This window comes from Homo sapiens, chromosome 12, assembly GCF_000001405.40.
Source record: "Homo sapiens chromosome 12, GRCh38.p14 Primary Assembly".
Taxonomy (NCBI): Eukaryota; Metazoa; Chordata; class Mammalia; order Primates; family Hominidae; genus Homo; species Homo sapiens.
In genome coordinates, this window is record NC_000012.12 from 106,611,347 (window position 1) to 106,636,383 (window position 25,037).

The 25,037-nt window shown below is 41.3% G+C and overlaps 1 protein-coding gene and 1 long non-coding RNA gene across 3 annotated transcripts in view, besides 1 other annotated feature; one reads left to right on the plus strand and one right to left on the minus strand.

Annotated features, from left to right (window-relative positions):
* Window positions 1-25,037, minus strand: part of LOC100287944 (uncharacterized) — a 278,422-nt gene that overhangs the window by 114,937 nt on the left and 138,448 nt on the right. The gene's annotated exons all lie outside the window — the stretch shown is intronic.
* RFX4 (regulatory factor X4) overlaps window positions 1-25,037 on the plus strand; it is a 179,800-nt gene that overhangs the window by 28,343 nt on the left and 126,420 nt on the right. The gene's annotated exons all lie outside the window — the stretch shown is intronic.
* Window positions 18,965-19,259: a silencer, noted in NCBI's record as "tiled region #7289; K562 Repressive non-DNase unmatched - State 22:ReprW". NCBI's record gives its function as "represses a minimal TATA promoter and a strong SV40 promoter by Sharpr-MPRA in K562 cells {active_cell/tissue: K562}" and the evidence as "EXISTENCE:reporter gene assay evidence [ECO:0000049][PMID:27701403]".

A 25,037-nucleotide genomic window follows, 5' to 3' on the forward strand; every position in this document is an offset into this window, starting at 1 on the left:
TCTGTGCCTTTAGTGTCATATCTAAGAAATCATTGTCAGATCCAATGTTGTGAAGTTTTCGCCTTTTTTTTTTCTGAGAGTTTTACAGTTTTAGACCTTACATTTAGATTCGTGATCTGTTTTGAGCTAACATTTGTATCTGGTATTAGGTAAGAGTCCAGCTTTATTCTTTTTTTTTTTTTCAGACAGAGTCTCACTCTGTTGCCCAGGCTGGAGTACAGTGGCGCTGTCTCGGCTCACTGCAACCTCCGCCTCCCAGGTTCAAGTGATTCTCCTGCCTCAGCCTCCTGAGTAGCTGGGATTACAGGCACATGCCACTGCGCCAGGCTAATTTTTGTATTTTTTTAGTACAGACAGGGTTTCACCATGTTGGTCAGGTTGGTCTCAAACTCCTGACCTCGTGATCTGCCCCCCTCAGCCTCCCAAAGTTCTGGGATTACAGGCATGAGCCACTGTGCCTGCTGTAGTCCAGCTTTATTCTTTCACATGTTGGTATCCAGGTTCCCCAGCACCATTTGTTGAAAAGACTATTCTTTCCCCCATTGAATGTCTTGGCACCATTGTCAAAAAACATTTGATCATGTATGTGGAGGTTTATTTCTGGGCTTTCCATATTATTCCATTGGTCTATATGTCTGTCTTTATGACAGAACTAGACTGTAGCTTTGTAGTAAGTTTTGAAATCAGGAAATGTGTGACCTTTCATGTTCTTCTTTTTCAAGATTGTTTTGGCTATTCAAAGTCCCTTGAGATTCCATATGAATTTTAGAATGGATTTTTCTATTTCTGGAAAAAAAAATATGCCACTCGGGTTTTGATAGGTGTTGCATTGAATCTGTAGATTGCTTTGGATAGTTTTAACATCTTAATAGTAAGTCTTCCAGTCCATGAACACAGGATGTCTTTCCATTTATTTGGTGTCTTTAGTTTCTTTCAGCAACAACATTTACTAGTTTTCAGTGTACAAGTGTTTTGCTTCCTTGGTTAAATTTATTCCTAAGTATTTTATTCTTTTTGATGCTATTGTACATGAAATTTTCTTAATTTCCTTTTCAGATTGCTCATTCTTAGTGTATAGAAATGCAACTGATTATTGTGTGCTGATTTTGTGTCCTGCAACTTTGCTGAATTCATTTATTAGTTCTAACAGTACTTTTGTGTTTGGGTATGTGTTAAATCTTTGGGGTTTTCTACATATAAGATCATTTCGGCCAGGTGTAGTGGCTTACACTTGTAATCCCAGCACTTTGGGAGGCCGAGGGAGGTGGATCACCTGAGGTCAGGAGTTCGAAACCAGCCTGGCCAATATGGCAAAACCCCATCTCTACTAAAAATACAAAAATTAGCTGGGCATGGTGGCAGGCACCTGTAATCCCAGCTACTTGGGAGGCTGAGGCACAAGCATAGCTTGAATCTGGGAGGCAGAGGGTGCAGTGAGCCAAGATTGCACCACTGCACTCCAGCCTGGGTGACAGAGCGAGACTACGTCTCAAAAAAAAAAAAAAGATGATTTCATCTGTGAAAAGAGATAACTTTACTTCCTTTTTATTAATTTGGAATGCTTTTATTTCTTTTTCTTGCCAAATTGCTGTGGCTAGGACGTCTAGTACTATTTTGAATAGAAGTGGTGAATGCAGGCAACCTTGTCTTGTTCCTGATTCTAGAGAAAAAGCTTTCAGTCTTTCACCATCGTTAGCTGTTGTTTTTTTATATATGACCTTTATTATGTTGAGGTAATGCTCTTCTGTTCTTAGTTTATTGAGTGCTTTTATCATAAAATGGTGTTGAGTATTGTCATATGCTTTTTCTGCATCAGTTGAGATGGTTATGTAGTTTTCCTTCCTTGAATGCAAGGATGGTCTGGCAAACAAAAATCAATCAATATAATGTATTTATTGATTTTGTATGCCAGACCATCCTTGCATTCAAGAAATATATCCCATTTGGTCATGATCTGTAGTCCTTTTACTATGCTGCTGAATTCTGTTTGTTAGTATTTTGCTGAGGATTTTTGCATCAATTTTTTTTTTTTTTTAGATGCAGTCTCACTCTTTTGCCCAGGCTGGAGTGCAATGGCACAATCTTGGCTCACTGCAACCCCTGCCTCCCAGGTTCAAGCGATTCTCCTGCCTCAGCCTCCCACATAGCTGGGATTACAGGCGCCCACCACCACACCCAGCCAATTTTTTGTATTTTTAGTTGAGATGGGGTTTCACCATGTTGGCCAGGCTGGTCTCCAACTCCTGACTTCAGGTGATCCACCTTCCTTGGCCTCCCAAAGTGCTGGTATTATAGGTGTGAGCCACCACGCCTGGCCTGCATCAATATTTATAAGGGATATTAGTCTGTAGTTTTCTTTTCTTGTAGTATCTTTGTCTGGCTTTCATATCATGATAATGCTGGCCTCATAGAATAAATTCGAATATGTTCCCTCCTCTTTCATTATTTTGAAGGAGTTTGAGGATTAGAGTTCTGAACATTCTTGTATATCTTTTGGTGAACATGAGCACTTATTTTGTTGGTATGTTCCCAGGAGTAGAATTGCTAGATCATAATGTATAGGTATATTTAGTTTTAGTAGATACTGCCGAAACAGTTTTCTAAAGTTGTGCCAATTTAGACTCCCACTATCAATTTATAAGTTTCAGTGTTTCACTTCCTTGCCAACATTTGGGATAGCCATTCCTTCTAATATTAGCTATTTTCATGGGTGAATAGCATATGTCATTTTGGTTGCATTTTTTCTGATAAATAATGACTGTAGCATCTTATTATATGCTCATTAGACATTTGTATCTTTTGTGAATTACCTCTTCATGTCTTTTTTTTTTTGAGTCGGAGTCTCACTCTGTCACCCAAGCTGGAGTGCAGTGGCATGATCTCAGCTCACTGCAACCTCTGCCTCCCAGGTTCAAGTGATTCTTCTGCCTCAGCCTCCCAAGTAGCTGGGACTACAGGCACATGCCACCATGCCCAACTAATTTTTGTATTTTTAGTAGAGACTGGGTTTCGGCATATTGGCCAGGCTGGTCTCGAACTCCTGATCTCATGATCCACCTGCCTCGGCCCCCCAAAGTGCTGGGATTACAGGCGTGAGCCCCTGTGCCCGGCCCTTCTTCACGTCTTTTGCCTGTGTGTGTGTGTGTGTGTGTGTGTGTGTGTGTGTGTGTGTGTTTGGTTGAGAAGGAGTATCGCTCTATTGCCCAGGCTGGAGTGCAGTGGCGCGATCTCGGCTCACTGCAAGCTCCGCCTCCTGGGTTCACGCCATTCTCCTGCCTCAGCCTCCTGAGTAGCTGGGACTACAGGCACCCGCCACCACGCCCGGCTAATTTTTTTGTATTTTTAGTAGAGACGGGGTTTCACTGTGTTAGCCAGGATGGTCTCGATCTCCTGACCTCGTGATCTACCCGCCTTGGCCTCCCAAAGTGCTAGGATTACAGGCGTGAGCCACCACGCCTGGCCGCCTGTGTGTTTTTAAAAATTATGTTGTTGGTTTTCTCCTTAAAGGTTTGTAAGAGTTGGTTTTATATCTTGAATAGGAGATATTAATATTTGTCAGGTAAAAGTATTACAAATATCTTCTCCTGGTTTGTGGGTTGCTTTTATATTCTCATAATAACTTTTATGAACACAAGTTTTCAATTCTAATAAAATTTAATTAATGTTTTTCTTTTATAGTTAGTGCTTTGGTATCCTATTAAGAAATTTTTGCTTACCTGAAGTTCATGAAGGTCTTTTTAACATATCATCTAGCAGCTTTACTATTTTACCTTTCATTTTTATATCAATAGTTCATCTGGAACTTTTGTGTATGGTGTGAAGGAGTAATCAAAGTTCTTTTTTTTCTTATTAATTTTCAACTGATAGAGCACGATTTCTTGAAAAGGTCACTCTTTAACCACTGAGTTTCAGTGGTGCCTTCATCATAAATTGGCAGATTATATATATTTGGATCTGGGTCTGGACTTTTATTCCAAACTGTTGGTCTTACTGTCTATTTTTGGGCTAATACTACAGTCTTTATTACTGCACCTATAAAATAAGTCGTGATATCTGGTAGCATAAGACCTCTTGTTCTTCTTTACTTCTTCAGTATTGTTTTGGTTAATCTACATTCTTAACAATTCCATATTGATTTTAGAATTAGTTGTCATTTTTTCACATATGCAAAATACCTGCTAGGATTTCTGATGGGGATTGCATTGAATCTATAATAAATTTGGGAAGAACACCTTAACAACATCAAATTTCCAATTAATATATGTTGTATTAGAGCCTCCATGTATTTGGATCATCTTTAATTTTTCCCAGCAGTGTTTTGTAGATTTCACTGTAGAGATTTTACACATCTTTCTTTAGACTTATTCCTAGATAATTGATGTTTTTCAATGCTAATGTAAGTAGTAATATTTTAAAGTTTTTCCTAATTGTTAGTTGCTAGCATATGATAATCAATTATTTAGATAATAACTTCATATTTAGCCACTTTGCTAAATGTGCTTATTAATTTAAAATTTGCATTTTTTGAACATTCTATGAACATCATCATGTCACCTGAGAATAATGACAGCTTTGCACCTTCCTTTATAATCTTTGTATTTTTATTTCTTTTGTGTGTCTTATGTACTGGCTGGGTTCTCTAGTGCAATTTTGAGGTGATGTGGTGATAGTGGACATCATTGCCTTTTTCCCAACCTAAGTGGTGAACGCATTTAGTGTTTCACCATTAGGTGAGATGTTTGCTGTGGATTTTTGTAGATACTCATTATCAGGTTGAGAAAATTCCCTTCTATCTTTGGTTTTCTGAGAGACTTTTCTTAAATGGGTGTTGAATTTTATCAAACACTTTTTCTACATTTGTTTTGATGATCATATATTTTTCTCCTTTATTCTATTAATACTGGGAATTACATCGGTTGAATTTTGAATGTTAAGCCAATCATGCATTCCTGTAATAAATCACACTTGGTCAGAGTATTATCTTTTTTATATACTTCTGGGTGTGATTTTTATATATTTCAGGCTGGATTTTGTTAAGGATTTTGGCATCTATGTTCATGAGATTTGTGGCCTATGATATTTCTTTTTTATTATGTTCTTGTCAGGTTTTGGTGTCAAGATTACAGAGGTCTCATGAAAAGGGGTAGGAAGTTTCCTATGTCTCTATTGTTTTGAAGAGTTATATAAGATTGGTATTCTTTATTTCTTAATTGTTTGGAAGAATTCAACAACTGGGTTTGGAATTTTCTTTGAGGGAAAGTTTTTAATGATGGATTCAATTTTCTAAATAGTTATTGGATTATTTATATTTTTATTTCTTTTTTTACTTTTAGTAAATTGTTACTTTTAAGGAATCTGTTTCATCTAAATTTTCAAGTTTATTTACACTATGTTCAAACTTTCCTTTTATTACTTTTGCCTTTACTTTTTTTGAGACGGAGTCTCATTCTTTCTCCCAGGCTGGAGTGCAGTGGTGTGATCTCAGCTCACTTTAACCTCTGCCTGCCAGACTCAAGCAATTCTCCTGCCTCAGCCTCCTGAGTAGCTGGGACTACAGGTGTGCGCCACCATGCCCGGCTAATTTTTGTATTTTTTTTTTTTTAAGTAGAGATGGAGTTTCACCATGTTGGCCAGGTTGGTCTCGAACTCCTGGCCTTGTGATCTGCCTGCCTCAGCTTCCCAAAGTGCTGGGATTACAGGTGTGAGCCACTGTGCCTGGCCACTTTTGTCTGTTTTTGACATCTATGTTGATGTTCTTTCATTTTTGATATTGGCAATTTATGTTTTCTCTGTTTTTCTTCATCAGTCTTGCCAGGGTTTATCAATTTTATTAGTCTTTTCAAAGGTCCAACTTTTGGGTTTGTTGTTTTTCTCAATTTATATCTTTTAAGAATTGCATTCATTTCTGCTCTTATTTTTCTTTCTTCCTTCTACTTTCTTTCAGTTTAATTTGCTGTCTTTTTCTAGCTTTTGAGATAGGTGCTTAGATTATTGATTTTCAACCTTTTCTAAGATATACATTTAAAGTCATAAATTTTCCTCTAAGCATTGCTTAATTAATCCCAACATTTTTCTGATATCACACTTTCATTATTGTTCAGTTAAACATATTTTCAATTTTTTATTGTGATTTCTTCTTTTACTTATGGTTTATTTAGAAATCTGTTGCTTAATGTCCAAACATTCATAGATTTCCTAATTGTCTTTCTGTTGTTGATTTCTCTTTTAGTTCCACTGTGGTCACAGAACACATTCTGTATTATTTCAAAATTTGAAATTGTTGAGACTTAGTGTCTGTCCCAACATATAGTCTATTTTGGTTAATGTCCATGCACACTTGAAAAGAATGTATATTTTGCATTTTGAATGTACATTTTGGGTTTGTTGTTGTTGTTTTTGGGACAAAGCCTCGCTCTGTCACACAGGCTGGAGTGCAGTGGTGCAATCTCAGCTCACTGTAGCCTCTGCCTCCCAGGTTCAAGAGATTCTCCTGCTTCAGCCTCCCAAGTAGCTGGGATTACAGGTGCCTGTCACTATGCCTGGCTAATTTTTGTATTTTTAGTAGAGATGAGGTTTCACCATGTTGGCCAGGGTGGTCTTGAACTCCTGACCTCAAGTGATCCACCTGCCTCAGCCTCCCAAAGTGTTGAGATTACAGGTGTGAGCCACCACGCCCAGCTGAATGTATATTTTAAATGTCCCAACATATAGTCTATTTTGGTTAATGCCCATGTGCACTTGAGGAGAATGAGTATTTTGCATTTTGAATGTACATTTTGAATGTATACTGGATGGAGTGTTTTATAGATAACAGTTATGTGATTAACATACGTTATAGATTATATACATATGTATATAGATTATATACATAGATTATATGTTATAGATAACATATGTTATAGATTAACAACAGTGAAGTTGGTTAATTATGTTATTTAAATATTCCATATCCTTACTGTTTTATTGTTGCTATTGTTTGTTCTCTCAGTTACTATGACAGGTATGTTAATATCTCCAGCTCTGATTATGGTTATGGCTATCGATATTTTTAGCTTTGTTAATTTTTACTTTATATATTTTGAAGTATTAATTTCTTAGAAATTTAGGATTGCTATGTCCTCTTATTGAAATGACTTTTTTATTATTGTTAAATATTTCTACCTTTTCTCTAGTAAGAATTTTTGCTTTAAAGTCTATTTTGTCTGATATTATACAGCTACACCAGTTTTCTTTATACATGGGTTGATATGGTATATCTTTTTCATCTTTTTATTTTCAATCTTACTATATAATCTTACTACATTTAGTTTAGTAAAGTTTTTCACTATAGCTTTTTTGAAAAACAAAACCCAGTCTGATAATCTTTGAATTTAGACCATTTAAATTTAATATTGTTACTGACATTATTGAGTTTAAGTCAACAAACTTACTATTTATTTTTTATTTTCCCATCTGTCTTTATTCCTTTATTCTTACTTTTTAGCTTTTTGGGAAGGGATTAATAGAGTTTTTAAAAATATTTGATGTTTTCTTCTGCTAGCTTTTCAATTATACATTCTTTTAGAGTGGTTCTATTAGGGATTACAATATGCATTTTTGCATTCTTCACTAATTATTATTAATACATCTACCTCACATTACTTCTTCCCCCACTTCAAGCTCAGTGAAAGAGCACCATCACATTTTAACCTCATTTTCCTCTTTCTCACCTTCTGAGCTCTGGTTTTAATGGATACATCTTGTACAAGTGTTATACACCCCACAAGGCATAATTATTATTGTTTTAAGCAGTTAATATTTATTTTTATTTATTCACAAATTTACCCTTTCCAGGGTTCTTTCTCCTGCAGCAGTTTCATGCTTCCATCTGGAATCATTTTTTCTTTAACTCAGATAAATTCCTTGCAGATTTATTATCATACTGTGTAGTATACTGAAGATCATGAAACACATGTTTATTTCACATATATTTTTGAAAGATATTTTTGCTGGTGATAAAATTCTAGGTTGGTGAGACTTTTTTTAATTTTAATTTTCCTTTCAACACTTTAAAGTTATCATTCCACTGTCTTCTGGGGTCCAAAAATGTCTATTGAAAAGTTAGTCATCAGATGTATTGTTACTCCTTTGAATGCAATGTGTCTTTTTGTCTCTGGCTGGTTTAAAAATTTTTTCATTGCCTTTGGTTTTCAGTAGTTTGACTATGATGTGCATAGATATGGCTTTCTTGTTTTTATTCTTCTTGGGGATCACTGAGCTTCTTGAATCTGTGTGTTGTCTTTCATCAAATTTGCAGATTCTTTGCCATTGTCTCTTCAAATATTTTGTCTCCCTCACTATTCTCATCTTCTGGAGCTGCAGTTACATGAATATTAGACTTTTCGATTATACTTCATTTTTTTATGTTTTGCTCTGGTTTGTCCATCTTCATCTCTTTGTACCTCAGTTTTGTATTTTTTTAATTGACCTGCCTTTCAGTTCTAAATTCCCATTTTCTATCATATCTAGTCTTCTATTAAGCCCATCCAAGTGATCTTAATTTCAGATATTGTATTCTTCTGTGGTAGGTGGTCCAATTGATTCTTTTCTCATAGTTTCTAAATCTTGATTGATATTCTCCATTTTTTCTTCTGTTTTGTCCATTTCCTCTAATTTGCCCATATTTTTCTCTATCTCCTCAAACATATTATCCATGGTTATTTTAAAGTTCCTGTCTGATAAGTCTAGTATCTGAATTATCTCTGGATCTATTTCTATTATCTGGCTATTTCTTGGATTTCAGGTATTTTTGGTCCTTTTGAGGTTTTTCAATAATACCTCATAGTTTTTTATCCAATGCTGGACATTATGAATGCAAAGTTGCAGAGCCTCTGGGTGAAGGATGTTAGCTTTCTCCAACAATATTGGGGGAACGCACCCCCAATATTTCAACGTAGGTTCTATTTTCCATAAGTGTCGGCTGGCTGAGAAATAAAGAGAGACAGTACAAAGAAAGGAATTTTACAGCTGGGCCACTGGGGGTGACATCACATATCGGTAGGACCGTGATGCCTGCCTGAGCCTCAAACCAGCAAGTTTTTTATTAAGGGTTTCAAAAGGGGAGGGGATATAAGAACAGAGAGTAGGTACAAAGATCACATGCTTCAAAGGGCAAAAAGCAGAACAAAGATCACATGCTTCTGAGGGAATAGGACAAAGGGCAAAAGCAGAACTACTGATAAGGGTCCAACAAAGATCACAAGGCAAAGGGCAAAAGCAGAACTACTGATGAGGGTCTATGTTCAGCGGTGCATGTATTGTCTTGATAAACATCTTAAAAAACAGAAAACAGGGATCGAGAGCAGAGAACCGATCTGACCACAAATTTACCAGGGTGGAGTTTTTCCCCACCCTAGTAAACCTGAGGGTACTGCAGGAGACCAGGGCATATCTCAGTCCTTATCTCAACCACATAAGACAGACACTCCCAGAGCGGCTGTTTATAGACCACCCCCCAGGAATGCATTCCTTTCCCAAGGAATATTAATATTAATATTCCTTGCTAGGAAAAGAATTTAGTATATCTTCCCTACTTGCACGTCCATTTATAGGCTCTCTGCAAGAAGAAAAATATGGCTCTTTTTGTCTGACCCCACAGGCAGTCAGACCTTATGGTTGTCTTCCCTTGTTCCCTAAAAATCACCGTTATTCTGTTCTTTTTCAAGGTGCACTGATTTCATATTGTTCAAACACACATGTTTTACCATCAATTTGTACAGTTAACACAGTTATCACAGTGGTCCTGAGGTGACGTACATCCTCAGCTTACGAATATAACAGGATTAAGAGGTTAAAGTAAAGACAGGCATAAGAAATTATAAAAGCATTATTTGGGAACTGAAAAATGTCCATGAAATCTTCACAATTTATGTTCCTCTGCCACAGCTCCAGCCGGTTCCTCTGTTCGGGGTCCCTGACTTCCCACAACACAGCAAGTGTTGAGTTTTGTTCTAGCAGGCAGAGAGAGAGCTAGCAGATCTCCTTAATCTTGTCAAGCCTTGCTTAAGTCTAGTCTATTTCACTTTTGTCTGTACTACTAGGGTGTGGTTTTTATTCCTAAAGCCTGGCCTTTCTGGGTTCACTGCTGAAAGCACTGGGTGTTTACCGACTTCCCTTTACTTTGACCCAGCTTGGACTCCAACCCTAACCAATTAATGATTGGCTCTTTAGTCTCTAAGCTGCTACTTTTCCCTCAATTTCTTGTTTTCTCAATCTGCATGTATAGCTTAGGAGTGGGCTAAGGACTTGAGGGGTAATTTGAATACAAGTATGTTTGTCTCTTTGTTTAAAGTTCTCTTCTCTTTGGAATTTTGCTCCTTAGATATTAGCTACTCTGTCATCCCCAAACTCTCCTTAGCTCAATAGACTATACTCTTTGCTTGGGTTCCATTTCCCAGTGTAGCAATTTGGAAAGATCTTTCGGGAAAGATCTTTGGAAAGATCTTGGTGTTTCGGGAAAACGCCAAGGTGGCTGTAGAGCTTACTTCTGGTGCTTCCTTTCTTTCAAGGCTTGTAGTTCCTCTAGTCCTGTCTGCATTTATTGCTCTCCAATGTTTCCAAATAGCTATTTGTATATTTTATCTAGCTTTTACAATTTGGTGGGTGAGTTAATCTAGTGCAAGCTACTTTATCATGGAGGGAACTGGAAGTCTGATTATCAACAACTCTTAGACAAGGAAATTGAGACCTAGAGAAGTGAAGTGGCTTTCTAAGCTTATACAAGAAGTCAATACCAGTGCTAGATCTAGAACATGGGCCACCTGACTCTTGTCCAAATAAAAGAATAAAGAAGTTTCAGTTCACATTTTGCATTTATTTTCAAAACACAAAGATTATATTTTAAAAAAATATAATATAACTTACAGTCCCACAACTGTAAGTTACATGTACATATATTTGGAAAAATATCTGAGGAAAGAAAAGAATTGCCTCTAATCCTACTATGTAGAGATAACCATTCTTGATGTTTTTGTGTTTCCTTCCAGTCTTTTTTCTTTCTAAGAATACTATTGTTAAGCAAAATTGTATATATGTATATATTTATAGTTAATATGTATATATAGCTATCATTTATTGAGCAATGAGAAGTGCTTTAATTCCATGATCTCATTTCTTTCTCACAATAGTCCAAAGAGGTGGCTTATGATTATGAGCTTTTGCTTACATATGTAGAAATTGAAGCTCAAGCATACTTGCATTCAAATTCCCTTCAAGTCCTTAGCCCACTCCAAGCTGCATTTTTTTTTTTTTTTTTTGAGACAGAGTCTAGCTCACTCTGTTGCCAGGCTGGAGTGCAGTGATCTCAGCTCACTGCAACCTCTGCCTCCTGGGTTCAAGCAGTTCTCCTGCCTCAGCCTCCTGAGCAGCTTGGACTACAGGCACGTGCCACCACGTCCAACTAATTTTTGTATTTTTAGTAGAGATGGGGTTTCACCATGTTGGCCAGGATGGTCTCGATCTCTTGACCTCGGTGATCTGCCTGCCTCGGCCTCCCAAAGTGCTGGGATTACAGGCATGAGCCACTGCACCCTGCCCAAATTGCATTTTTTCCCCCTAGCAGGTGTCAAGAGTCTTGCCCAAAGTCACATAGCTGGTAAGTGGTAGAGTTGAGATTTGAACTCAGGTCTATATGTCTGCCTTTCAGCATTAGTCTTTTTTTTTTTTTTTTTTTGAGATGGAGTCTTGCTCTGTCACCCAGGCTGGAGTGCAGTGGCATGAAATCGGCTCACTGCAAGCTCCGCCTCCCGGGTTCACACCATTCTCCTGCCTCAGCCTCCCGAGTAGCTGGGACTACAGGCGCCCACCACTGCACCTGGCTAATTTTTTGTATTTTTAGTAGAGACAGGGTTTCACGGTGGTCTCAATCTGACCTCGTGATCTGCCCGCCTTGGCCTCCCAAAGTGCTGGGATTACAGGCATGAGCCACTGTGCCTGACCCAGCATTAGTCTTTTATAGTGTTTTTTGCACTTGTCTACCTCTCAGAAAGTAATGAACCCTCACGTTTCAAAGACTTGCCACTGGAGATTTCATAATTTGCCAGTAGGAACACCAAGAGTAGAGCTCATCACCCCTGCTTAGTGATTGATCTGGAGTGTCAATATTTGATTGTGCCTTGTCATCTCCTTTACTAGACTAGAAAGCCCCAAGAAGGCAGAAATGTTGTGTGGTTCACTGTTGTAACCCCAGTACTTGGCACAGGACATGGTTGAAGTTTTAAAAATTACTTACGAGGGAAAAAACCACTCTGCTTTAGCATGTTAAGAATGCTTTGGCCTGTGGTCCCAGCTACTCAGCAGGCTGAGTTGGAAGGAATGCTTGAGCTAGGGAGGTGGAGGTTGCAGTGAGCCAAGATCATGCCACTGCACACCAGCCTGGGTGACAGAGTGAGACCCCATCTCAAAAAAACAAAAATCCAGCAGAATGCTTTGGATTGTAAGAGACAGAAACCTGATGATTTAAATGATGTAGATATTTATTATTTTATTTAACCGAAGATGGGAAGGAGTAGGCTCCGGGGTTTATTCAACAACTCAGCATCCTCCAGGACCCAGGCTGTTTATGTCTTTCTGCTGAGTCCCCACATTGTTGGTATTTTGTCCCCGAGTTAGTACCTCATAATCACAAGGCAGCTGCTGCAGGTCCAGGCATCAGGTCCACATTTAAGACAATAAAATGGAACAAGGGGAGGTGCCAGCTACTTTTCTTCTTGTGTGTCTCTCTTTTATCAGAAAACAACAAAATCTTTCCCAGAAGCCCTCAACAGACTTATTTTACGTTGGTTTTGTCCAGAACTCTATCATTTATAGCTGAAAGGAAGGATGAAAGAGGATTTGTCCAAAGAATAAGATTATGATAATTGGACTGACCACAGGTCAAATCTAGCCTTGGGCTGTTTTTATACATCCCATGATCTAATAATTTTTTCATTTTTATTTTATTTTATTTATTTTATTTTTTGAAATGGAGTCTCACTCTGTCACCAGGCTGGAGCGCAGTGTCGCGATCTTGGCTCACTGCAACCTCTGCCTCCCAGGTTCAAGCAATTCTCCTGCCTCAGCCTTCCGAGCAGCTGGGACTACAGGAGCGCACCACCACGTCCAGCTACTTTTTGTATTTTTTTTTAGTAGAGATGGGGTTTCACCATGTTGGCCAGGATGGTCTCAATCTCTTGACCTCATAATCCGCCTGCCTCAGCCTCCCAAAGTGTGGGGATTACAGGCGTGAGCCACCTCGCCCGGGCTTTTTTTTTGTTTCATTTTTAAAGAGTGTTGGGCGGGGCGGAGGGGGGAAGAAGAAGAAAAGGAATAGACCATATGTGGCCCACAGAGCCTAAAATATTTACTATCTGGCTCTATGCAGAAAAAGCTTACCAACTCTTGGTTAGAAAAATCATGGTTTACCTCTTGGGCTATCATAATATTGCCTTGGATAAAACTGGGGTTTGATTAGCAAGCAGGAAAAAATTAACGATTGGCTATTGGCTGGCCTGCCATAGAGTGTATCTCTGGACCGGGCCAATTGAAAAAATGCCTTCTCGGGGTGTGATTTCAGAGAAGTCAAGATTCTACCCACTGAGAGGACTGCTTTTTCTGGCATGAGCCTTTCAGTATCAGCACCAGGGACCTGGTCAAAATGAAAATGTGTTGCTCGGAATGGGAGACTATTCAGTTTGTTAGCCTAGAATAAAATAGTATGAGATTTTATGGATCATCTTGGCCCAACTCTCCTGTTTTACAGTTAAGGAAACTGAGGCTTAGAGAAGGGATGTGATTTGCCAGAGATCACACTCCTAGTTAGTGGCAGAATCAGGACTGTTACTGAGGTCTTCTGATATCTGTCAAATGCTCTGTTACGTCCCTTTAGCAACCCAGAAAAGATTGATTCAGTTGATTCGCTAGAGATTCAGTAAGCGTGAGGAAATGTGATATGGGACTGATATTTTTTGATGGAATGCAGTTGGAAAGAAAACCCTGGACCAGTGGGGTCAAGTCCTAAATGCCTGATGGGTGAAGAAACCGAGCAAGAGTGGATGGGTTATTTACCATAATTCAGGTCTCATGAATTCTCACTTCCAATCTAAACAATTGCATTTTTCCCCTAGTAGATGTCAGTAGATATGTATGCTTCTCATGGCATACTCACCAACAAACAGGAGGATTGTGACTGTAAAATATTAAAAAGTCCGTGACTGTTGGAGCATCATATACAGAGAGGAAAGCTCAGCAGTGTGGATTAGACAGAGTTGTATGGGTAGAACAGAAATTTCTGCAAAAGTTGGGCCCAGAAGATTCCCTGAGCCCCTACTACATGCTAGACTCCATGGAAATCCCAAAATTATATAATGAAAGAAAGAGGAGGGAGCCAATATTAAAATATATTCAGCACCAGGCAGTATGCTGGGCATAATCACAACCATGATTTCTTTTAATCCTCTGGAGGGAAAGTATTTTTTCTCCCCATTTTACAGATGAAGAAACTGAGATTCAGAGATTATGTGACTTGTTCAATGTCATAGCAAGTAAGTGGTAGAGTTAAGACTTTAATTTAGAGCTATCTGATTTTATTGCTGGCTCTCTTTTGACTACATAAACTGTCTTTTCCATGGATCCCTGCTCTCAATGAATTTTCAATCTAGAAGAGAAGTTAAGGCACATACTTGAATATTAACAATGCAAGGCCATATGTGATTGACTTCATTCAAATGATATGAGTTGTACTTAAGACCTTGCCACACCAAGAGTGATCCTGGCCTATAGCATAGACCTCCCTGGAAGCTTGTTAGGAATGCAGTATTTCAGGCCCATCCCAGACTCACTGAAACATGCTCTGCCTTTTAACAATACTTGCAGATGATTTACTAATTATGCATGCTAAAGTCTGGGAGAGGTCACAAGATTGAAAGGTGACTCTGGGGAAGGCATCTTGGAGGAGGTGACATTTGCCTTGGGCCTCAAAGGATCCATGTGGTTCCTGCAGTGATGGGAAAATCGGGGGAGGCAGAAAGCTACGAGACTGGTCTTGAGCTTGGAGAGTTTTCCAGATTGGCTTGAACAGAGAGGTTGAAGAATCATGGGAAATAGGGCTAGGAATGAGTTTGGGCCACATCACTGAGGGACCTGAATTCCAAACAAGGGGTCTAGAGTTTGAGGTCTGAGGTGCCACTGAAGGAGCTGGCTGAGGAGTGACAAATCAAAGTGGTGTTTTCAGAAGGTTGGCGTGGAGGTTCTATGCAGGTGGATTCAAGCCAGCAGACACATCAGGGCTGCTACCTACTCCAAGTTTGAGGCCTTAGACTAGGCAGGTGTTAGAGGGTTTGAAGAAATTGGAGAAACTGGGAGGATAGGATGGGTCCAAAGAGCAGGAACCCAATGGGATTCTTTGGGATTCCTGTTTCCCTCTTTCAGAGACAGAATAAGTCAAATGTAACCAAGAGGTGCTCAAGTCCTCTAGTCTTCAGGTCACCATTTCCTTAACATCTAAATGAAATGACTCCATCCTGTATCCTAGGCGGGAGTCCAGAACCTTCCAATTCCCTCCACGAGGTATCAGACACACACATGCATGTGTGCATGTTTGTTGTGGAATGTATGGAATGAGGCTCTTCCTCTCCTGAGACAGTCCATGCTGTGTCCCGTTCCCTCTGCCCTTTCACAGCTCCTAGCCACTGCCATTCTCCTGTCTTACCATGTTCCTCACTCTGAGTGTACACTTCTTCCTTTACTCTCTTGTGTTACTGACTGTCCAGTGGGGACAGAGGATATCTATAGCAAATGGTAGGGAAAAGTTCTAATTCAGTGGCATGATGGCATAGAAAATCTGGGGTCACCACTTAAGGTGACTCATCACTATTGTATTAAAATATCATTGCGGGCCGGACACAGTGGCTCATGCCTGTAATCCCAGAATTTTGGTAGGCCGAGGCAGGCGGATCACTTGAGATCAGGAGTTCACAACCAGCCTGGCCATGGTGAAAACCCGTCTCTACTAAAAATGAAAAACTTAGCCAGGCATGGTGGCGGGCACCTGTAATCCCAGCTACTTGGGAGGCTGAGGCAGGAGGATTCCGTGAACCTGGGAGGTGAAGAGGTTGCAGTGAGCCGAGACCACGCCATTGCACTCCAGTCTAGGCAACAAGAGTGAAACTCCGTCTCAGAAAAAAACAAAACAAAACAAAACAAAACACATCACAATTCAAGGCTACGTAAATGGAAGTTACATCTCTCTCTCACTCCATTCACCTCACTCAGCATGTCTTAGTTGATTATCCAATTTGGTTTCTTATAACTTCATAAAAAGATTTCCAGAGAAGAGGAAATGTCATTAAACCTTATTTGAAATTCTTTACTAAAAAAGACGGAAGGAACTGCTCGGCCTTATCTGTTGTGGAGAGGAGAAGACTATGGTGAGATGGAATGTCTCCAGGAGAAGAAGGAAGTTCAGGGTGGTCAGGAGCTGTTTTGTATTTCCACTGAGATGTAGGCCAAATGCCCTGCCAATAGCAGAAAGGCGTTCAGGCAGCTCCTAGAGCTAGGGCAACACTGAGAGTCCAGGACAGGATTCAACAGGAGAGACCTCCTGGGACACTTGCAAAGAATTGGATTGCCCCCATGGGGTGTCTGCTGCAGTTTTAGTGCTGGCTGGGAACCCAGGTTCGAGACTGCTAGCTGGCTGGCACGGCCCCAGTGTTTAGGCTGTGATTTAAGATGACCTCCTTGGCTCCTCCCCTTCCTCACCTCCATGCCCACAGTGTCATCAAGGGCTGCCCATTCTGCCCGCAGTGTCAGTCTATCTGTCCTCTCTTCACCAGCTTACCTTCCCCACTCCTCTGGGGAAGAAGGACATACCGTTTCCTCTGGGCTTTGAGCACACTGCCAGGCCAGGGCCCCTCCACCCTCCATTTAGTCTCTCCATGGGGCCAAAATACTTGAGGGGAAGGCACTATGTCTGACTGTATCTCACCAGCACTTAACATAGTAGGGCCTGGTACATAGTAGGTGCTCAGTAAGCATATGGATATTAGGAAAACAAAATAGACCATAAAGCCTCCCTAGATTATGGGTGTTTATAATTTGCTTCCAGTTTTTGGCACTCCAGGACCACTTATCCATTTGAGTAGATTCTTCCTGTGGATGCCCCTCCCCTATAGGGTCTTTTTAATTTGTTCATGCTTAAAAGTTAGAATAGTTTTGAATAGATAATACAGCCATATGGTCCAACAATCAAAATGCTTTAAAAGGTACTCATTGAGAAGTCCTGGTCTCACCTCCAACTTCCCCCTGCAACACTCTACCCCAGCTTCCTAGTATTAACACTTTTGTTACTTACACGTTCTTCGAGTATTTCCTCATGCAAATGAAAAATTCAAATATATGTTCCTTTTTTTTTTTTTTTTTGAGACAGAGTCTCGCTCTGTCACAGGCTGGAATGCAGTGGTGCCATCTCGGCTCACTGCAGCCTCTACCTCTGAGGTTCAAGTGATTCTCCTGTCTCATCCTCCTGAGTAGCTAGGATTACAGGCATGCACCACCATGCCTGGCTAATTTTTGTGTTTTTGTAGAGGCAAGGTCTTGCCGTGTTGGTTAGGCTGGTCTCGAATTCCTTACCTCAAGTGATCCACTGGCCTTGGCCTCCCAAAGTGCTGGAATTACAGGCATGAGCCACCATGCCCAGCCATTTGTTACCTTTTTAACACAAAAAAGTGGCATACTATATGCACTGTGCTGTGACTTGCTTTTTTCACTTAATAATAAAAACCAGAATGTTCCATATCAGTAAGAACATAGAAAGCGTCCTCATTCTTTTTTGGTTTTCATCTTTAAAAAAAAATACTTGCATAGTATCCCATTGTGAGGATGCATTCTAATTTAGTTACCCAGATGAACACCTGGGCTGTTTCCAAACTTTTGCTGCTACAGACAAGCTGCAACAAATAACCTTGTGTATGCATCGTTTCGGATGTGTCCAGGTAAAGCTGTAGGATCAGTTCACAGACCTGGGGCTGCTGGATAAAGGGTACGTGGGATTTCAGTAGATTCTGCCAAATGACCTTCCATACAGGGAAGCCCTGGGTTTTGTTTGTTTTGTTGTTTTGTTTTGTTTTGTTTTTGTTTTTGAGAGAGGGTCTTGCTCTGTTACCCAGGCTGGAGTGCAGTGGTGTAATCGTGGCTCACTGCAGCCTCAACCTCCCAGGCTCAGGTGATGGCTCCTACCTCAGCCTTCTGAATAGCTGGGAGTACAGGTGTGCACCACCATGCCTGGCTAATTTTTTTATAGAGATGGGGTTTTACCATGTTGCTAAGGCTGGTTGAACTCCTGAGCTCAAGCAATTTGCCCACCTTGGCCTCCCAAAGTGCTGAAATTACAGGCATGAGCCACCATGCCCAGTCTTTCCAGCTAATTTTTTAAATTTTTTGTAGAGACGGGGTCTCACTATGACCCTCCGGCCTCAGCCTCCCAAAGTGTTGGGATTATAGGTGTGAGCCACTGTCTGGCCAGGAGGCACGGTTCGCTCTCCCCCTGCAAGGTCGGAGGGTGCCTGTTTCTCATAGCTTCACAGCAGAGTTGTGCGGTTGTGATTTGGATTTTTGCCAATCTGATAAGTAAGAAATGCCATCTTGGTGTAATTTCTATGTTTATTGATTAAAACTGACCATCTTTCCACCTTTTAAGAGCATTTGTGTTTTTTCCATGAACTGTGTGTCATGTGCATGCCTATTTTTTCTTTTGGTTCTTGGTCTTTTTCCTGCTATTTTTTTGGGAGCTCTTTTCTATGGTGGGCAGATGAGACCATTGTCTGTGGAATGATTGCAGTTTTCCTGAGTGAGTCATTATCTTTGTACTCATGTTGTGGTTTTTGTTTCCCTCACATAGAAATTTTGGATTTTTTATATAGTAAAATTTATCAATCTTTTCTTTTATGGCTTTGTGATTTTGTATCAAAGTTAGACAGCCTCTTTCTCGCTCCAAGATTATGAAGGAATTCACCCAGAGGAGGCGAGAGGAAGCAGGTGTGGGCCCCTCACAGCAAATGCTGCCAACATCACAGTTTTGTTTGGGATTTAGCCACGTTCCCACGGGGAGAAGGGTTTGCTGCCAGAGGCTGATGCCCACTGCCAAAGGCCTGGGTGCCAGTCACCCTGCTCATCAGCTGGTGCCCTTTGCAGGGGCTGGAAACGAGGCAAATGAGGGGAAATGAAACGTTTGGCAGCCCCATGTTCCCAACAGGTGAGTTCTGGCCAGGTGCAGCCAGGTCAGTATAATGAAAGGAAATAGAATTAGAACTTTGAAGTGAAATTTGAGACTCACATAAACTTGAACCTTTCCTGGGATTTGAAAAGAAGTAATTAATTTAGAAATGTGTTTCCTCAATATTAAACTCTGCCACACTGACTCCAGGCAGGAAATATTCTGGAATAGATTCCCAAATGTGAATTCATTTGACATGGAGGCAGAAAGGAAATGATGAGGCAGATAATAACTTCTCTAAAATCTTCAGTCCAGTACTATGAGTTTGAAGACAGAATGAGGCTTATAAATGTTTGGGTCTGGGGAGGTTTTGACATCAACTAGCCTGGGTCCTTGTCTTTGCTCTGCCACTCACTATGTGACCTCAGACAAATTCCTTCACTTCTCTGAGCCTTAGTTTCTTCCTCTGTAAACGGGGATAATACTAATCATTAGGCCTAACATTGATTAAGCACTAAGGCACTGCATTTGATGTTTCACATGCATTAAACTGTTCACTGTCTAGGGCAGCTGTGAAAACTAAATGCCATACCATGAAGAGCTTTGCACAGTGCCTGGCACAATATGAGTCCTCAATAAACATTCCCCGATGGTACTGCTGTTTTGTATGCTTACTGAAATCAGATGGGAAGGCTCCACTTTTAATTGTGGTGTCATTTTATTCATTCACTCATTCCACAAGTGCTTCCTCCGACCCTACCACATGTGGGTGCTGGAGACAACGGTGAGCAAGGTCTGCACCCTGCAGAGCTTACAAGCTAACAAGGCAGACCCAGTGGTCAGTGCTGCAGACTGAATGTCTGTATCCCCCCAAATTCATATGTTGAAACTCTAACCCCCTATGTGATGGTATTTGGAGATGAGGCTTTGGGGAAGGGTTAGGTCATGAAGGCTCAGCCCTTGTGAATGGGATTAGTGTCTCCTTATAAAAGAGGCCCCAGAGAGCTCCCTCACCCCTTCTGCCATGTGTGAACACAGGGCAAGAAGACAGCTGTCTTTGAACCAGGAAGCAGACCCTCACCAGACACCAAATCACTGGTGCCTTCATCTTGAACTTCCAAGCCTCCAAAACTGTGAGAAATCAATTTCTGTGTCTAAAAACCACCCAGTCTGTGGTATTTTGTTACAGCAGCCTGAATGGATTAAAATGATCCATGGGCAGCGACCACACTCTGCCATGGGGACTTTGCTGGGGAGCAGTCAGGGTGCTGAGGCAGCACAGAGTGAATAACCCTGTCCCTGCTGCAGGGCTTGCCAAACCTCAGGCACATGGTCCCTCTGGAGGAGCAATAACCATTATAGGAGCAGGGAACACTTAGATAGCAAGTCCTTTGAACCGGAAGTGGTTCAATTAATACTCATGACAGCTGTATGTGCTTGGTACTATTATTATCCCTATTTTACAGATAATGAAACTGAGGAACCAAAATGTTGTTCAAGGTCACGTGGCTAATAAGTAGTGGAGCTGGGATTTGAGCCTGGAAATTTGGCCCCAGAGTTTATGTCAGGAGGTAGATGCAGAGAGGAGAGCAGAGATGCTCACCACTGCAAACTGGACTGAGACCTCTGCACCGTGTTAGGAATCATAACTGCCAAGTGGGAGCAGAACGGAGTGGCAAGAAGACCAGGCGCTGGGGCAGCATCTTGGCAGGAGTTTTTTTTTTAAAGCAGACCACTGCTCTCCAGCCTTGGCAGGACCATCAGCGGGGCACTGCAGGTGTGCCTGCGAATGGCTCCAGGAATCCTGCTGGCCTAAAATGATACTTTACAGGATGAATCTTGTTTGGTTCAAGGCATGTCTCCCAGTGAAAACGAAAAGGCATTTGGCAGGACCAGTTCCTAAAGTCTCTATCAACTATGGCTATTTACCTAAAATGTGTTCTCCTACTCTCTACTCTCTTCTCCTAGGTAAGGTTGCTGCTCCTCCTCAGATGCCCAAGCCAGGCTCATACCCCACACTTGGTGCTGCTATAGCATCCTGGACCTGCATTTCACAGCTCTTGCCTAGGACTTAATTTTAAAGTTTGGGGTTTCTTTTTGTTTTGTTTTGTTTTAATTTTACTTTACTTTTGAAATGGGGTCTTGCCATGTTGCCCAGGCTGGTCTGGAGCTCCTGGGCTTAAGTGATCCTCCCAGCTCAGCCTCCTGAGTAGCTGGGACTACAAGTGCATGCCACCGTATCTGGCACTACAGGTGCATGCCACCGTATCTGGCACTACAGGTGCACGCCACCGTATCTGGCACTACAGGTGCATGCCACCGTATCTGGCTTGGACTTACATTTAATTGGCTGATAATTTATGGCCTCAAGAGAGCAGTGACTACGTCTGTTTTTTCTTACCCTTTAGCACCTGTCATGGGACTGGAATGTAGCAGACGCTCAATAAATATCTGATGAATGAGTAAATAAATAGCCAGCACTTCAGGAGAACTGAGATAGAGAGCCATCAAATAGGAGGGTCAGGCCTGGGTGTGACACACCTCCTACTTTAGAAGAAAAGGGCTTGGGCATTCAGACCCTGGGCACAAAGTCACCAGTGATCTAAGGAAAGGAGCCAGCAGAGGTGGACAGCACCTGTTTGCTGACTGAGCTGGAGGGCCCACATTGGCTTTGGGGTAGACCAGTTCTCTTCTAAACACTATCAGTAGCCACTGGATTGCTGAGCACCTAGTGAGGTCCTGTTTCCATTCACCAGCTACATGGCCTCATGCAATTATTCACCCTCACCAAAGATCTGTTTCCTTATTTATAAAATGGGGATATAAAACTTCTTCATAGCAATATTTGGAGGAATAAAATGAGGTAGCATATGAAAAGTGATGTGTAGTGCCTGGCTTAAGTACTTGACCAATGAATGCTATTATTAGTATGGCATTTTTAAAAACTGTATCTAGTTCTTAACATATTATATTTAATCCTCAAAACATCCTTGTGACAGAAGTTATGATTCACATTTTTTTAGATAAGGGCCTTCAGGCTTGGATGAGTCAAGTTGCTGCTCAAAGTCCACACAGTTGGGGGCAATGCTGGAATTTAAACCCATGCCTGCCTGTCCTCAAAGCCAAGTTATTTTTATTCACTGATACTCAGAAATGGGGCCATAACAAAGTTTAGTTGGGAAAAAAACCTGATATAACAAAGGCAGTATTGCTTGAGTGGGAGACACTGCGATGGAATCCCAGAACAGGGAGCTTCCCTGGCTCCACCAATGGGACCACATGCATCTTCCCTGGGCCCCAGGTCCCAGTTCCTTGCCTTTGCTCCTGCTGCTTCTGCCTCTTGGAGTACCCTCTCCCTTGGTGGCCTCCTCCCAGAGTCTGACAGGTCCTCTTCAAAATGAACAGGGCAGGTTACAAACTAGGATGGACTGTATGACCCTCACATGTTTTAAGTGTAGATATGCATGTGCTTGTGTGTGAAAGAACCCTGATAAAAGATGAGGCAAATAGGATAAAAAGATAACAGTTGTTCCCTCTGTTGAGAGGAGCTTGGATTCTCAGATATTTTCTCCATACTTTCTTAATTTTAAAAAGATGAACATGCATTACTTTTGTGAATATAAAGCAACGTTATTTTTTAAAAACCTCAACCATCCCTTCAGGGCTCAGCTCAAGTGCCGTCTCCTATATGGAGCTGTGACGTCCCCTGGTGTGTGTTTGCCTTGTGAGGTCCTTGGTGATGCCATTGTCTTTGCCCCTGTAAATCTTCCAAAGCAGCAGATCCCAGCAGACAGAATTGCTCCAAAAGCCTCCTGGCCGGCCAGGCACAGCCAAGGGCAACCTTTCCCCGCAGATGGCTGCAGAGGGTGCTTTTGAACGCTTACCCTCTGTTAAGCTCATTTCACTTAATCCTCCCAACAACCTTTTGAGGTAGGGATTATTATTATCCTCCATTTAGAGATGACTGTCTTAAGACTTAAACGGGATAATTAGATTGTTAAACATCACATCACGTTCCATACTCACCTGGATCCACTCTGCCACACCCAGCAGAGACCCGTGCTGCAGCCACCTTGCTTCTGGGAAAGTGACATAATCTGTCAGGTCCCCTTGTCTTTATCTGCTCTCACCTTCTCCACCCTACTCCTCACTTCCATCCCACCTTCCCCCCATCTGGTGCCCATCTCTGGCTCACTCCAGGACACAGCTCACCTATCACTTCTTCCAGGGAGTCTTCTCTGACAAGCTCTGCTTTTTCATGTAGTCTGGGTTGGCCGACTCCTCTGTGCCTACCTGTATCACAGCACTTACCACTTCTTGCTGAATTTGTCCTCTCTCTCCTCTGCCTTTCTCTTTTCCCAACCAAACTCAAGGGCAAGAGTTTAATTTCTTTCTCCCCAGTGCCTAGTTGGCACAAATAAGATATTCAATAAATATTTGTTGAACAAATTAATAGGATTCTTATAATTGCCATAGAAGATGACCATTTTACAAATGAGGAAAAATGAAGCTCAAGTAAGTTGAGTGATTTGCTCAGTTCTGGCCAGTAAGTGTTAGGATTATTCGAATCTAGGTCTTTTGACAACCTGTCCAGGTGGACCAAAATGCTGAAATTTAAAGAAACAAAAATGTAAAACCCCGCCAGTTTTAGGGGGAACAAAAATACTAACAACATGCCAGTGCAAGCTAGGTAGAGGTAGATTTTGGTTGTTTTTCTTGTTTAAAAAAATACAATTGACAATTTGTCATTGTTGTTTGTTTTTGAGACAGGGTTTCACTCCTGTCACACAGGCTGGAGTGTAGTGGCGTGATCTCTTTGCAACCTCCGCCTCCCAGGCTCAAGAGACTCTTGTGCCTTAGCCACCCGAGTAGCTGGGATTACAGGTGTGCGCCACGATGCCCAGCTAATTTTTGTATTTTTAGTAGAGACAGGGTTTCACTGTGTTGGGCAGGCTGGTCTCAAACTCCTGGCCTCAAGTGATCTGCCCCCCTCCGCCTCCCAAAGTGCTAGGATTACAGGGGTGAGCTACCATGCCCGGTCCCATGTTTTTCATATAGCCTTTTCTTTCCTTTCAATTATTTGCTCAGTATTATAATTTCTAGAAGTTGGGTTGTGAGGACAAGCAGCTGAACATTTTAGATGTCCCTCAGTATTACTGCCAAACTGCATACTAAAAACATTAACACTACCTTCAGGTATAAAGAACTCTGAGAGTGTCAATTTCACCATGTATACACCAGCATCAAAAATTGTCATTATTTAAATTTGCTTTTCCCTCAGAGATATAAGGAGTGCCTCATTATTTGTTTCCTTTTCACTTCTTTGTGAACAACAGAGGTTGAGTATTGTTCTATGTGTTTAGGGGTTCACTTACCCACATTCTTGTGAGACCCACATGTTCATGTCTTTATTGTGCTGTTCTTTAAGACTGGAGAAGGCACACTTAAGTATTTAAATACTAAGTGGAAGGCACTATGCTAGGTCCTGCAGGAGGTAATGCAGATGACTGAGATACCACCCCTGCCTTCTCACTGAGTTTATGCTTGAGCAGAAGGGATGGATGTATACAGAAATAATGCTCCAGTCACCTGAGGTCAGGAGTTTGGCACCAGCCTGACCAACATGGTGAAACCCCATCTCTAAATGGGGTTTCTAAAAATACAAAAAATTAGCCAGGCGTGGTTGTGGGCACCTGTAATCCCAGCTACTTGGGGGGCTGAGGCAGGAGAATCACCTGAACCTGGGAGGTGGATGTTGCAGTGAGCTGAGATCGTGCCATTGCACTCCAGCCTGGGTGGCAAGAGCAAAACT